The 15,915-nt window shown below is 38.5% G+C and overlaps 1 protein-coding gene across 19 annotated transcripts in view, besides 1 other annotated feature; it reads left to right on the forward strand.

The window, feature by feature from the left end:
• NPAS3 (neuronal PAS domain protein 3) overlaps window positions 1-15,915 on the forward strand; it is an 869,389-nt gene that overhangs the window by 676,057 nt on the left and 177,417 nt on the right. The gene's annotated exons all lie outside the window — the stretch shown is intronic.
• Window positions 1,203-1,713: an enhancer, noted in NCBI's record as "OCT4-NANOG hESC enhancer chr14:34081250-34081760 (GRCh37/hg19 assembly coordinates)". NCBI's record gives its function as "activates a minimal SCP1, AML or CMV promoter by ChIP-STARR-seq in naive H9 embryonic stem cells {active_cell/tissue: H9 hESC(naive)}" and the evidence as "EXISTENCE:reporter gene assay evidence [ECO:0000049][PMID:30033119]".

Below are 15,915 nucleotides of genomic sequence, written 5' to 3' on the forward strand. Positions count from 1 at the left end.
AATTTTAATGAACAGTTTGGATCAGGGTTGTTCTAAAAACTTTGCCCGAGAATTTAAGGCAACAGAACACAGGAGCAGCTTATAATTGTTTTCCAGTTGACTATCGCTGTTTTTCTCTTCATCCACTGTGCTCTTGAAACAGAGTGAGATGTATGCAAGAAACGTTTTACATGGAAAAAGCATGCATGTCTCCTAACGTTCAGTTCATAACTGCTGCATTGTGCCATCTTCATACACTGGACTCTTTCCTTCCTACATCGTTAATGTGTTTGAGTAAGTGGTATCCTAAGAGTCAAAAGAAGCCGATAGACCTCCCTAAGAATACAGAGCTATGGCTGCCACACAGCACCAGGATTATTGTAAAAAATTAAATCTTTATGAAATAGCACATGTTAATAGGTTTTGTAAACTACCAATGGCAGCATAGAGCAAGTACTATTAAAAGTAGGGTGGTTGTTATCTGGTATTAGGAACACTATGAGCCAAACAGACCATTCTGTGGTTGTGAGTTTTGCTTTTGTTTGTTGTCATTAAACACAAACATCTGAATCTTGGATGACAACATCTGAATCTTGGATGTTTCATGAGAAGAGAAAACGTAGAGGAAGAGGTGAGATGAGATGCCTACTTTTGAGGGGCAGTTAGGGGCAGTCTTAGACCGGGGGAGCTAAATATAAAATGAAAGGGGAGTCTTACCTCCAGAGCTTATAATGCCCTCGGGAATGCTAACTCTAACACTACTGCCTCAAGGAGATACCAGTTATTCACTCACAGCATGACTCATTTTCCTTGAATACATATTTTCCAGTTATTTGCGTGAACTAGAAGTAGTTGTGAAAATAAATTTCTCTGTTCAAAACAAAGAAGGCTAATTTTTTGCCTGTAAAAATTGCTTCATCATCAATGTTTTTTAGTGTTCAAGTAAAATTGGCCACATTGTATTGCTGTTTTAAAATGATAAATGAGATGATTATCTTACTTTTTTGTGAAAATGTATTTAACTCATCATTTTCCTTAATATAATCTATTTTAAAAAGCTTCAAGGGAGAGGAAATAGATTAAAAATAAATGAAATCATACTTTTAAAAAATTAAATTTGAACTAGTGAATACTTGAATAAATTCTATCACTCCAGCAGAGACGGGAAACTGGGCAGCCTGGCCCTGCAGATGCTGAGTGGCCAGAGGCCTCTGGGCAGGGCTACTGGGATCTGCCCCAGGTGACAGGTGGGGCCTTGGGGTACCTGCAGCCATAGCCACTGTCCACTAGTGTGCTGCTCCTCTCTTCTGAGGGGTCTGCTAGCTCTGGAAATCTAGGAGGCTGGCAGGGAGAAACAGTAGAAATTGGTCAGAAGGCCCCTGCCGGGGAGAATGAAAAGAGGGAAAAAACAGCTCTTGTTGAATCTGGAGAACAGTGATGCCCCACTGTTCAGCTGATCTCTCTCTTTCCATTCACATTTGCGCTCAAAGTGTTTCAACACATCCAGCTGAGCCCCTTCTTTATCATCGCCCACATTCTGCTTCCCCACGCCCTGAAACCTGTTGTCTTTTCTACCCTCCACAGGCACAGACACTGTGTTCACCTCTCCAGTCACATCGACGTCCAAGCAGATGTTCTGTGGCAAAGTTACAAAGCATTTATGTCACTTTTTAAAATTAATCAAATTCTCCCTTGGAAGGAGTTTAGTTCCTCTGGCTTTAAAAGATATTATTGCTGAAAAATAAACTCTGTATACTTGCTTTTAAAGATCTTTGTATGCCTTTTGTAGGTTCAGAGTGAGGGGTGCTGGAGGACTTTTAAAGTGTGGTATTTTAAAGATGTTCTTAATTGTAAAGAGCAAACTTTACATTTGTGAAAAAGCATCTCAAAGTTAGAACATATATCTCCTAAGACTAGCTGACCTCCCTCCCGTAAACTGGTGATTTGGAGACTTCAAAATTCTGTTTATCCCATAGAAACATGTGTATCCTAGGATGGGAAATCTGAGGCTTCTTTCTCTCATAATTTTTAATAAAGTGGAATCACTAGAGAAAGTACCGGGGTTTCTTAACTTTTTAAATTGTTTTTCGTTTTCACTTTAATTGCATAAAAGGGGTAGAAAAATTCCATCAACCAAAAAAAGAAAAAGAAAAAAGCAAGTTTCTTATAGCTTGCTGTTTTTATGTGTTTCATGTTTTATAATTCCTGATAGAGATCAGGTAGTAATGTAAGGTAACTGAAAATTTAATTCAACATGTATTTCAATGAGTGATTACTATGTTCAAATCAGTGGGGATTCAAATATGGATAATATAAAAGACAGAGAGATTGAGTAGCCCAAATTCACACAGCTCATCAAATGGGCCAACTGGAGGGCACCTGCTCCTGGCCCTACAAACCCTGCCTTTCAGAAGAGGAGTTACCCTGAGGCCATTTAGAATCTATGGAACTGGAACTGACTCCAGAGGAAACAGATCCTTTGAGGACTTGTGACCAAGAATGTGCTGAGATCAGAAGGTGAGCCTTCCCCTTCCTATATTGCTGAGAAGGTTGAGGTCCTAAGAAAGCAGTCTGTTCAGCTTCCCTTCCCCTCTCTGAATTGACCCTTCCAGCCTAATATTCCAGGATTTCCATCATGTGTTCTCTGTGCCCTTCTCACACTGGACAATTTGCAACCTCCTAACCACAGCTTGAGGCTTCCCCTCTCTTCTCTTCATTGGTGCTACATTCTGCTCCTATTTCAGCATGGTCTCCTGGTGCTCCAGCCCCATCCTTCGGTGTTCAGGGGAATGAATGTCCCTGCCTCAGTGGCTTCCACTGCACCAGCCTTCTCCCTTTTAGCCATCAGGCCACACTGCTCATCCTTCGCACCCTCCTCCCTGAAGCGTTTCCTAACCCCCTGAGGCAGAACTCTCAATTTACCTCTTTGTCAAAATCTATCCAATCTACAACTTCCAATTAAATGTATCTACTTTAAGATCCTTCTTTGACCTCAAGGCTCACAAGTCTCTCTTATGAAGCTCAGTACTGCTTTGTTTATATTTTCATGTTGGCATTTTCCTTCTCCCCCCTCTTATAGGGTAATTACCTGTGTGCTTCTCTTACTATCTCAACCTGTCAGATTCCAAATTCCTTTAGGCCGGAAACTCACCATGTCCCCCATAATAGTCATCACCTAGTAGGCTTTGTCTCCTGACTTGGGAAGTTTTCATGAGATCCATCACGAAACTGAATTATGCAAGCTCTTTCTTAAAAAGCTGGTAAAACCAAAGTTTATAAATAAGGACTTATCACTGAATACAGATCTGGGTAAAAAATATTTTACAGTCACTTCATGCATGTTACTGGGAGTTTCTTCAACCAGTGGAAGTTATTCTTGATTTGATTGAAGGGTAGTTGTTAAGCATCTCTGAGTTAGGGTGCTTATTAAGTTATCTTTCTTGATATCTCATAGAGGCCCCAAAATAGTTGTAGGAGTAATTAATTGCCAAACAGGCATGACAAAGCTACCCAGAGCTTTCTGCAAATAATTTTGAACATATTAATAATTTGAGAACTATATTTGTGTAGAATATTGGTGGAGAGAGATGAGCATCCTCAGTACTGCCCTAAATTTCTTCTTGCTACCTTAGTGGTGACATGGAGAGAAGAAAGAGCACAGCCCTGGAGAGGTGAGGGTGGCAGGATGAGGGGTCCAGTCCCTGTGGGCCTTGCAGCCACACTGGTGTTTTAAACAGGAAATCAGCCTCGTTCAAAAACCATATTCTTAGCTAGCATAAGCAGCTTAAACAGTCCTGGGGGTCATATACCACAGCAGTTTAGAGCAGTGTTATCAATTTGTTGACTATTTAAAGGTCAGAACAAACTAGAAATAAAGGACTTAAGCCATTATCTAGTTCTTCAGCCCCCAAACCCCAAATTTGAAGGAACAGAGGCTTTTCAAACCTAGATTATTTAAAGTAATTGAACCTTTTCCAAATTTAATTATTCAAAATATATTCTGAATACCTGTTTACTTAAAAGTTATACCCAAATTCCTGAAGAATTGACTGCTTAGCACTATACCAAAATTTATAGTGCAAAGCAGAATGTAAGAAGCAATGTAAGAATTGTAGGAAAAAAGGAGCCATGAAAGTTGAGAGAGATGGATGTGCAAAGATGAATTCATGGAAGAGGCTGCACTGTGACTGGGCCTTGAAAAACAGGTAGGAGTTCTGTAAGTAGAGCTGAAGCAAAGGCCATTCTAGGTGACAGGAGCATGAGGTGGCATCGGTACAAAGATGGCAAAGGGCAGCACTTAGGGCAATAAGTAATCCACCATGGCCCGCGGATTAGGTTTGAGTGGGGCAGTAGGCAGTGTATATCTGGAACTGACTTGAGAGAACTGTCAGTATAAGCTAAAGAGTTGAAACTTTACCTGGTAGGCAACAGGAAGTCACTGCATGTTTTTAAGGCAGGGAAAGGCATAAACTAAGTACCAAGTTCAATTTGGCTGCAGTGCAGAGGATGGATTATAGAAGTGAGACAAGAGGCAGAAAGATCAAGGAGCTGTGACAGCAGCGACTGCAGAGGTGGAAGGGCAGAACCGGAGCAAGGGCAGTGGGCTTGGAAAGGCATTAAGAAGGAGTAAGCGAGGACTTGGGTACTGATTCAATATTGAGAGAAAAGAGAAAGAGAAAAAGAGAACTAGAAGGTCACTTCAGTGTGTCAATCCTGGTGACTGTGACTCAGAAAATAGGAGTACCATGAACAGAAATATGAGCAGAAAGATTATTTCCACTGTAGTCCTGACTTATCAGTTTGTTACAGATCTTTCCATTTCATGTGCCCCTTTGCTATAATAATTTGAGTAATGCTAAAAAGTAGCATAAATCAACTTGTTTATTAAATGGGGACCTAGTACACGTTTAGATCTTGAACAAACTAAATGAGAACTAAGAGTGCATGCTGAGAATCCCCGTAGCCATATATTCCTTTCCAGAGAGTCAGTGTCTGCCCTACATATCAACCTAGTTTGATTTACTAGATTATGGTCTTTAAAAGAAAAAGAAAAATACCCGAGGCAAAAATGTTGCCCTATTTATGGCAGTACGTTCTTTGGCTTCTTGCACTTTTAATGAGAACATTGCTCTCAGGAGCACCAGTTCCTGATGAGCCCAATAGAAAGTCCATTTGCCCTTTACAAGGCAGCCATAGTGCAAGCATAGCTGGTGTCAATTTTTCCACTGCTCTTTTTGCCAGTGTTTCCCAGCCCTTGACTCAACCTCCTGGGATGAAGATATTAGCTATTTTCCATGGCTTATTTACTCCTTGACACTTTTCTTAAGCCTGCCAACTCTGGGGCTAGTGTGGTCCTGACTTCGTAAGCTGGACAACGGGTCTGTTGGGAGTTGAGCTAGAAAGAGTCGATGCATTCTGTCGAGGCCACCAAGCCCTCACAGACGAAGATGTGATGTGCTTCGTATGAACTTATGGAACAGAGTTACACTAGTTGCTCTGTTCTGAAAGATGTTCTTGACATTTTCTTTATTGGTGAATGAATTTGTGTTTACCTTTGGCCACTTGCTGAGGTCAGGAGCATGGGAACACCCTGTGTCGCTCTATGGAAATGCCAAGGCGGGAGGGGAAGAGGAGAAGGTGAGATCACACAAATCCAGACCAGTGCCCGTCTCGGCAGCTGTCAGACTCTGAAATCATACTTTCCCTGTTCTTCCTGACCTCACAGAAAGCAAGTGGTTGAGTTGCGGCTGGGATAGAACTGAACATTTTAAAATGCTTGCCTTAGTGAGGAGAGTGATCCTGTGCTTTTTGTTGGAATCTCACTCTCAGCGCAGAGGGGCTGAGGTTAGAGCAACTCTTTAAAACCGCAACATTTTTGTTCAGAAATGTGACATGATTTGCAGGTGGTGACAACTGATTTGACAATGACTGGTGATTTAGGTCTACCTCTAATAAGCGAATTAATCTGAGCTAAAACATAGTGATCTGTCATGTTTAGAGATACCTCAACATCTGGCTGACTTGTCCTCTGTCAGCCGAGTTTGTCCTGTGCAAATCTTCTGTCAAGTGAGGAAAAGAACTGTGGGTAGAAAATTACATGGCAGTTTTAGAGTTAGTGATGAATTTTTCTCCCAACATACCAGCTGTGCCAGCAACACTATTTTTCATGGCATTAATCAAATATCTTGCCTGCAGCACCTTCACTTTCCCAAAGGCTAAAAGATGAATCTGTCAAAAAATTTCACTGGGATTTGCCAACAGCTTTTCTAAGCTCAAATACTAGTCCAGGCACCTTAGAAGTTTGAGCAAGGCTTTTAGGAATAGCCTCGGGGAGTTAAAAGCTGTATAGGGTAATTTTCCTTTACACTAAACAAAAAATCGAAGCCTCCATTGCAGCCAGCATGATCAAGTTTTCAAGTCTGGAAAAGGGCCAAACACTCAAGCTTTATTAATGTATTCCATTTACTGACTCATAGCAAAGTACTTTTTTGTGGTCGGAATTTTGAAATTAGCAAGGTACAAGAGCAGTTGAAGGCCATGGGATGAACTCGTTGCTTGCTCCTTGGGAAAGAAAATCCCAGAAGAGAGGAAATTTAGGTGGGGGGAATGCCACACACCCACATTCCCACAAAGATGCTGCCCACAGCTAAGAGTATTTGCCAGGATTAAGATCTGTGAAGAGCTGATGGTTTTCATTCACCACCTGTAACCTTTGTTATATCTCTCTTGCTTCCAAAATAAACATGGCATATTTGCTTTATGCCCATCGGAAGTAATGTACACTCCTGTTCCTTCTCAAAATTAATATACATTTTAGAGTAATCACTGGTGACCCTGAGATTTGCTCTGAATGAATGGGCAAAAGCTGTTACGCTGATCTGAAGTGTAGTAAATCACAGCGATCAAGGGCTGTGCCACATTAGGCATCCTGCTAAGAGTGATTTTTATAGCATCTTCTCTTCACTGTTGACTATTTCTTAAAAGACAAAGACCATTCTTTCATGCCTTAAATGGTAAAGAGAGGTCTCTAAGAGTCTTTGCCATTTCACTTCTCTGGCAATATCCTCAAGATTACTGAGCAGTTAAAGAAAAAAAAAATGGCTGACACTTGCATCTCTCCACTAGTAACTGCGTAGGAACTCAGCAATAGCTTTTAGGCACAGTAACTCGGAAGTGCATGAGACACAGCGGGGACTCAACAAATTGTGAAGCAAATGAAATCCTTGGATCAATTATATATAAAGAAATTAAACAATGTATTTTTTCACATATCCACCCTGAACAGAGAGGTATCAAATCTTGTTCTGTACATGTTTCAGGACAGTGGTCCCCAACCTTTTTGGCACCAGGAACCAGTTTCATGGAAGACAGTTTTTTCATGGACTGGGGTGGAGGGATGGTTTTGGGATGATTCAAGCATATTTCATTTTATTGTGCACTTTATTTCTATTATTATTATATTGTAAAATATAATGTAATATATAATTAAATAACTATACAACTCACCATAATGTAGAATCAGTGGGAGCCCTCAGCTTGTTTTCTTGTAACTAGATGGTCCTATCTGGGAGTGACAGAATCATCAGGCACTAGATTCTCCTTAAGTAGTTGCAACCTAGATCCCTCCCATGCACAGTTCACAATAGGGTCCATGCTCCTATGAAGATCTAAAGCTGCTGCTGATCTGACAGGAGGTGGAGCTCAGGTGATAAGGCAAGTAATGGGGAGCAGCTGTAAATACAGATAAAGCTTCGCTGGCTCACCTGCTGCTCACTTCCTGCTGTGTGGTCCGATTCCTAACAGGCCACGGTTGGTACCGGTCTATGGCCTGGGAGTTGGGGATCCCTATTTCAGGTTATCTACTCTAACCTGATTCTAGATTCCCTTCTCACATATTTGATAGCAATGAAATGTTTTCCCACTATTTAAATGGGTTAATTTGCCACAGTTCATAGAAACTGGTAAGTTGCAAGGCCTGGAAATGCAAGCTTAGTTTTCTAGTAAGTGCAACTTGAATTAGCAATCAAACAAAGCAGACCTTCCGCAGTTGAAGAAGGCTCATGACCAGAAGGATTTGAGTAAGGCAGTAAAAATGTAGAAAGAGAAGCAGTGAGGTGCTGTCAGTTGTGGGAGTAGCACAGGGAATTGGTTCTCTAGTCTGCTGGATTTCTTGTTCTTTGAAAATTAAGTAGTATCTGAAACCTTTAAGAGTAGGCTTAATTTCTTTTTTACTGTTTCCAAATGTTCATATCTTTATATACTTTAACGTATAGATACCATTTCTTTGATTCAGGTTTCAGTCTTACTTTGAGATAGAAGTTCTTTAGCTTCTTTGAATCAGAAAAGTCAGCTTCATATCTCATACAAAATTTCTAACATTTCTGTGATTTTATCTGCCAACTCTTGAGAAAAATTAGTCATAATATATAATTTAAATTTCCTATGAAATTTACTGTGAAATCCAAGGCCTATTACCTTTGTCTATAGGTTTTGATCATATTTGCAAAAACTCATTAATAGAAGCATTTCTCTGTTCCTGAAGTAGACTGGACGAATAGGTTAGCCCATTATTGCTTGTCTCTGAATGTGCTCTTAAACTATATGAAATGAGACAAGACTGAGATGATTAAAAAAAAAAATCCAAAGGGTACCTTGATTAGATGCACTTTAGCACTATAAAGCAGTTTTCTTTTAATAATGGAAAGTGAAGAAGGTTTCATTAGTTCAGACAAGGATGTATATGAAAGTAAATTTGGAGCCTTCTCTGTGTGTATACGTGCACACACGTGCTCTTTTAGAAAGCTCACACACCAGCAGGGACATTATGTAGCTTGCAATGATAAAATAGAACTGAAGGGGATGTTATTTTAAATCCACTCTTGTCTACCCAAAAAAGGTGCATTATTGGGAAGGACTTTGATAGTGGTGTATTTTACAGTTTGACAACTTGGGACTTTGTAAACTGGCAATTGGGTATAGACGAAGATATCCATTTATCTCATATATGTCTTGTTGAGGCAAAGCTGTCAGAAGAAATCTTATCACATGGTGCCCCATTTGTTTTCTGTGGTGATTTATGATGGTTTTGAAAAGGTCTTGTGATCCCATAGGCTGCCACGATTCTCTGACTTTTCTCTGTCAATGGATCAGATTTTTGACATTTTCTGAGAGCATTCAGAAAATATTTGATAAATCAGCTTGTGGTGTTTATTTTAATTGATCTGAGGCTCATTCCTTCAAGAATTCATCAACTACAGTGACAGGGTCTGGATGTGCTGCAGTGAAATGAAAGAATTGGGCTGGCCATGCTCCTGTGGTGATGATATAGATATTTTGTTGAAAGTTTATGCGCACCGACGAGAAGATGTCATAACTAATTTAGTATGTTGTAAATCTTTTGACACAGATTCTAATTCATAAATCTCATCCATCACATGTGATTCATGAAACTATAGACAACCTTTGATGAGAAGGTACTTCTGTCTCTGTTCCAAGTTCCTTACATTTTTCCTTATTCAAAAATAAATCATTCCAGAACAACAGAATTCTATTATGAAAATGGAACTGTAGAGACCCTTCATTCCCTCACTTCTGTTCTTATACCCATAAAAAGAAAAACTCTTTATTTGAAAAGAAAGGTGTGTTTCTCTTAGGACAGGAAGATAGAAGTGTATGTGCTGTATATACGTGTGCATTCACAAAAATATGCAAATATAGAGAGAGACTGATCTCAAAGAAATGGCAAAGATGAATGTTAACTATTTTTCTAGAATAAATTGACTTCAGATAAAGTCTTCCTCATTTTAATTTTTAATTTGAAATTAATTTCAAAAATCAACATTAATAGACATAACATACAGTTATAATGCACCAAATATATGTTTTATGCCCATTCTTAGGTTTACTTGGCATATAAATCTATTTATTTATTTATTTGGGCTACAAGTTGGCCTTATTGATTTACTCTATTTCAGCTTGACTAATAAACAGGCAATCATTTTTCTCAGAGTGTCAAATATCTAACAAAGGATGGTCCAGAAAATGGTTGGTACATGAGATCTTGGTTAACAGATGCTTCTGAGAAACCTAAAGCTAACGTGTGGTTATATGTCATCTAACTTAAGTCTGGCCAGATATGAAAATGCTTTACCATTAGTAAAAAGTTTGTACATGTATGTCGTTACAAATGAGTCATTTAAATGACTAGGTAACGAGAAGTATACTAATGACCATGGCCTATGTTAAAGTTATTTAAGACTTAGTTGTTGCCCTGACAAACTTTCTAACTGCAATACGTGAAAAGGTGAGATTGAAGATGATAAAGACAAAATTGAGATGGATGTGGAACTCTTAAAAAGATAAAAAGAAGAAGCCATATTTACAGATACCTTGAAACATACTTTATGAGGAAGTATCATGAAAGAAATAAAACTTAAGTCTAGGCTTGAAGAAAGTGTTAAATGTGATATTAACTTCTAATTTTTGAACATCTAAACTGTCAAAAAATACTTTTTGCCAGCTAAAAGATAGGGATGCCAAAGTGTTCATGTAAAAATCATATTAGATGAGTTTGAAATCCAGGATTTCTTCTCCCCTCTAGTTCTAATAGTCCTCATACCTTGTATCATTGTGCGTATATTTAAAAATTATTTATAACAAGAGGCAAAACATAAGTGCATTTTAGTATTATAATGGAGGAATCTAATTTTATTAACTATCTCCATACCCCCACTATGGTTAAATTTTTATATAAATAGCTAGTAAGTTCCAAAATTGGCTAATATGGATTTTCATAATTATCTTTCCCTTCTGATGGATGTGGTAGCCATCTGTAGATTACGTCAAAGTGAGCAATGCACAGTAAAAGACCTGGATAACTCACAAATTAGAGAAATGTCTCTTTCCTTATCAAAACCTAAATAAGCAAACTACAAGGGGTAAAAAAATGAAAGAAGAAAAAAACATAAGTAAAGGCGAAATTCACACACATCCTCTCTTTGAAGCAGTCAAGTTTTAGAAATGAAGAAACTCTGACAGGGGAAAGGTCACTCAGAAAAAGACACAGTACAAAATGCCATTTCTGTAATGGAGAGTAATTTGAAATAAACTCCTGCTTGGAGCCCATAATGAGGAAGAAAAGAAACAAAGAGCCAGAAAGGTCCAGTGTCAGAATTTAAAATAGGTAAATTTTAATGACTCTGAAAGGCGCAATGAATGACCAGTATCCAGCAGCCTGAGCAGAAATGATGTGAAGTGGCAATCTGTCTGCTTCACCCATCTCTCTTACCAAGTTTTCTCTCCTAATGTTCAAAACCACTGTTCTCAGTCTCAGAACTCTCTGATTACCAGTCGGTTCTAAGAGCAAAGAAATAAACATTAGTTAGATACAACAGATGAGATAAAGTCTACTGGGTCCAAGATTGGGATGCGTCAATAAAGTGGAACCATAAGAAAGCGGATTTCCGTATAGCTAACAGGAAAAATAAACCCTAAAAAAAAAAAGCCATTTTACTGAAAGTGCTAGAAACATTTACTATAATCTTTAACAGCTTTCTACTGTGCCAACATGATGAAGTTACTAGTCCCTTGATAATTCAGGCAACCATATAGAATTTTGTTCTTTACTTGACTGCCTGCCAATAGAATCAATTGATAATGAACCTGATGTTTCCCTCATGAGAAAATTAAAAAGAAATAGTAAAAGGAACAAACACTAAAATTCTACAGATTTGACAGATCTTAAAGACATAAATGATATGAATGTTGTAGCATTAATCACAATTTTAGATCCTATTGAGTTTGCCCAAGTGTTGGCCTTAGTTATTCCCATCCAGATTGCAGCTCAGGAAATGTATTGAGACGCAAATATGGTGCATGTGGTTTATCTTTTCACCGATTATACAAACTTCATCAAATTGTAAAAAGCTTTGATGTCTCAAGCTGTTCCATTTTCATAGTTGAGAGTAAAAATGAAAGAAGGGAAGTTGCTATAAGGAAGAACTCTGCAGAGATTTTTTTTCCCAATCAGTCAAGAATGCATTAAGTAATTCTACTTGCCCGGCACCCAATACCATGCTAGGTATGTTTGGTGAGATACAAAGGAGGGCTTGGAAGTGGGATCGTATCCCAGTAAACCTTCAGATTCTTTTATTATCCTGACTACCACTTCACACTACTGCATTTTTGGACGTTAAGGTGTAGTTCAGGGGGTAAAATATCAAGACCTACAGTAACATGAAGGGAACAGTTTTATAAACAACGAGTCCATGGCCAAACTGGACTGTGAATCCAGAGGAGGCTAGTAGAGTCAAGGAAGGCTTCCTGGGAAGAGTCTGATCCATCCAACTATAAAGTGTAACAGTAAAAATATTAAGCTCAATATTTTGCTAAAAATACTGGTCATAAAGAAAAGTAGAGAAATTCAGATCAGCCCACAAAGTACAATGGACAGTGGATGACAGTATCCCAGTAAGCCTTCAAATTCTTGTATCATCCTTACTACCACTTCCCACCCTATTTCCCCTGCAGTCAAAGTGAATGACAACTCAGGCCAAAATAACACTGGAGGCATATTTGACCATACCCCATGTATAATACATCAGCATTTGGACGCAGCTTCACAATACATCCAGAGTCTCACTGCTTCTCAGCCCTTCACGGCTACCACTGCAGTTCAGGTCGTATCATCTGTGTTTGCGTGTCTACTGCAGCCACCTAATGGGTGCCTCTGCTTTCTCTCTTGCCTCCCGACCCAACAACCACGATGGTCCTGTGCAAACATAAGTCAGATCTTGTCACTTTGTTCCACTCTCTCCAAGGCCTTCCCATCTTAGAGAAAAAGCCAAAATTGCTATAAGCCCTCTGTGACCTGCCAAGGCCTCCTCCCCACACACCTTTTATTTCTCTGTTGTTATCTCCTATTATTTCGTTGTCTTTCACTTCCATCCAGCCATCCTGCCTCCTCACTGGGCACTGCCCTCTCTTAATAATTCAGGCAACCTCATATGATTTTGTTCTTTACTTGACTATCTGTCAATTGAATCAATTGATAATAAACCTCATGTTTCACTTGTAAGAAAATTAAAAAGAAATGCTAAAAGGACTCCTCAGGTACTCCTGTTTCCTCTGCCTAGAGCACTCTTCCCAGATATGGCATCGCTTGTTCTCCTTTTCGAAGTCTTTGTTTAAATGTAACATGCTCCGTGAAGTTTCTCAGACTACCACATTTAAAATTGCAAACTTCCTCCCCCAAGCTCCCTGACACCCCTAAACCACTTTCTGACTTTATTTTTTTCCATAATACTTGCCACCTACTGGCATACCATGTAATTCAGTTATTGCTTTTGTTGATTGTCTGTCTTACACTCTCCTGGGATGGGGAAACTTTGTTTTGTTCCCCGAGATATCCCATCACCTAGAACAGCATGTGACAGATACTAGGTGTTCAATAATATTTGTGGAGTAAATGGATTGTAGAGCTAGAATCAAGATCACCATATCAAAGGAGGATGCTCTCCCGAAGTTGTGTTGCATTTGGTTTAGGACACAGGTTCCTAACCGGGTCTCTTTGGATAGGATTTGGGGGATTTGTGAATCTCTGAAATTGACATAAAATGTTGTGTTCATCTATTTTTTATGATTGAGTAAAGTTTTATAACTTTTGTGAGATTCTCAGAGGTCCTTGGCATAAAGAATAAAGAGAACCACTGGTTTAGAATGCCCCCAAAGCACTTGGGAAGAACTATGTAGTTTTTTTTTTTTTTCATTCTATTAATTAAAGCAGAATATTAATCATCTTATTTTAAACATAGGAAAATTGATACATAGAAAAAAGTTTTAAATGAGTTTTCACAAATCCAAAACATCCTTATATTTTGGTAAATTATGTCAGCTTCAGTTTGAATGAAAGGACCAGATGTCAGTTAACTCAAAGCAGTCAGAGCAGCAAAGGCCTCATCAGATCATCATTTGTTTAATTCTCTAAGTAAGTTTTGCGCATCTAGTTTATACACATTCTTGTCAATGTGTTGCCTTGAAACTACTTCCTGCCTACTCCTTACATGTGTGTGTGCACAGTGGGTATTTGTTTATTAAATAAATTAATATTGAATGAATACAGCCAGAACTTGGATAACTACCTATGAGGTATTATATTAAATTAGTGGTAAAATCCATACTGTTTGATTTCCAATCCAGTATGTTTTCTGTTTGACTGTGTAGGGTCTGTCTTAGTGTAACATGACCTTTTATTTAATTAGAAACATAAATAATGTGCCAACAGTGTTTGTGTTATAATCTTGGTCTTACCATGGACCTAATTGGTGACCTTGGCACTTGCTCTGCCTTGATTACTTAAATTTTAAAATGGGAATAATATAATTACCTTGTTGTCTTGACTAATTAAAATATAAAATATAAATTGGCCTAAGCCATCCCAAACATCCACAGCTTATTTTAAATTCTGAGCATAAAACCATAGGCATAAACACGATAACAGAGACCACTTTTCCAGTTAGTCAACATACAGGAAATTCTGCTGCAAGTAGGGAAATATCTTTCCTTTGCTGTAACAACAGGAGAGCTGCTACCTTGGTTTGCTTGTGACAAATGGGGATGAATCCCTTTGAAGACGCTGCAGGAGAGTTCAGGCTGATTAAAGACACAGAGGTACTTTAATGAAATTCTCCACACTAGCTTGTTTTTGGTGAACAACTATATGCAGTAGAGGAGGTAACAAAGCAGGTGTTAGAACAAGCTTTGCCCAAAGATATCTGGATGTTTCTATCTGACATTATTCCAAAGGCAAGATGAAATAAGCGGTTAGATATGTTGTCAAAGAGATTGATGTTATAAACTATTTTGAAATTTCCTCTGATTAATTCTATAAGCAACATAGTTCTTCACCAAAGGTAATGCTGTGAGTTAGGGGACCAGATATTAACCCATATTGTCTCCAAATAATAATAATAACATTTGGGTATAAAGAATGGAAAATGATAAAGCAATAGGAGAATTCATGATTTTTCAATCCATCAAAAAGTGAAAGGCTATTGGAATCATTTATAAAAGTAAACTTTATTTTCTCCCTTTCATTTTGTCTGTCTGCCATTTGTGGTCTTATAGACTTGTTAGAGAATGAAAGGATCTTAAATGGTTAACCAATGATAAAATAGAATTGTCAAAGAGAAATTAACTGGCCAAGATCACTTGACTAGATAATGGCAAAACCAGAACTACAACCCAGAACTTCTGACTTCTACCCCTTCCCTCTTTGCGTGTATACGTTTATGTCAGGATCTTTCTGGCAGTGCTTTCTCCCACATCATGTCTGTGTCTATGCTGAGAGAGACAAAGGGAGAGGGAATGAAAATGAATACGAATCTACAAACATCTAAGTATATTAAAATTTCTTATTGTATTGAAGGTAATATTTGCATAAAATTTACCTTTAGAGGGGGACTGCATGCAGTTACAATATTGAGTTCCAGAAGAGGTCACTGATTTCCCAAAATTTGCCTTTCTCTTAACAGAGGATACGTAAATATCCCAAATGTTGAATATATATGAAATTCAGTGCTTCTTGTACAAGATGTTTTACAAGACTTTAAAAATTCTCCAGGGGTGTATACGTCCCACTGTGTTTGAGGCAATTAATACTTAACACCTTTAGCAATATTCCCCAGGGTGATTATGAAACGTAGACTATTGGGCCATCATTAACTTATTGGGAAAGATAGCATCATGGAAGCACAGAATGACAACATCATTCAATGTCTGCTAGCCTGCATTAAACTAACGATGCTACTCACTTGTTAACAAATATTTACTGAACACCCACCATGTGACAGGCACCATTTTTAGGTGCTGGGGCCACACCAGTGAAAAAAGCAAAGCTTCCTGCCTGTATGGAGTTTATATTCCAGTGGAGGGAGATAG

Source organism: Homo sapiens, chromosome 14 (genome assembly GCF_000001405.40).
Source record: "Homo sapiens chromosome 14, GRCh38.p14 Primary Assembly".
In the NCBI taxonomy this organism is placed as follows: domain Eukaryota; kingdom Metazoa; phylum Chordata; class Mammalia; order Primates; family Hominidae; genus Homo; species Homo sapiens.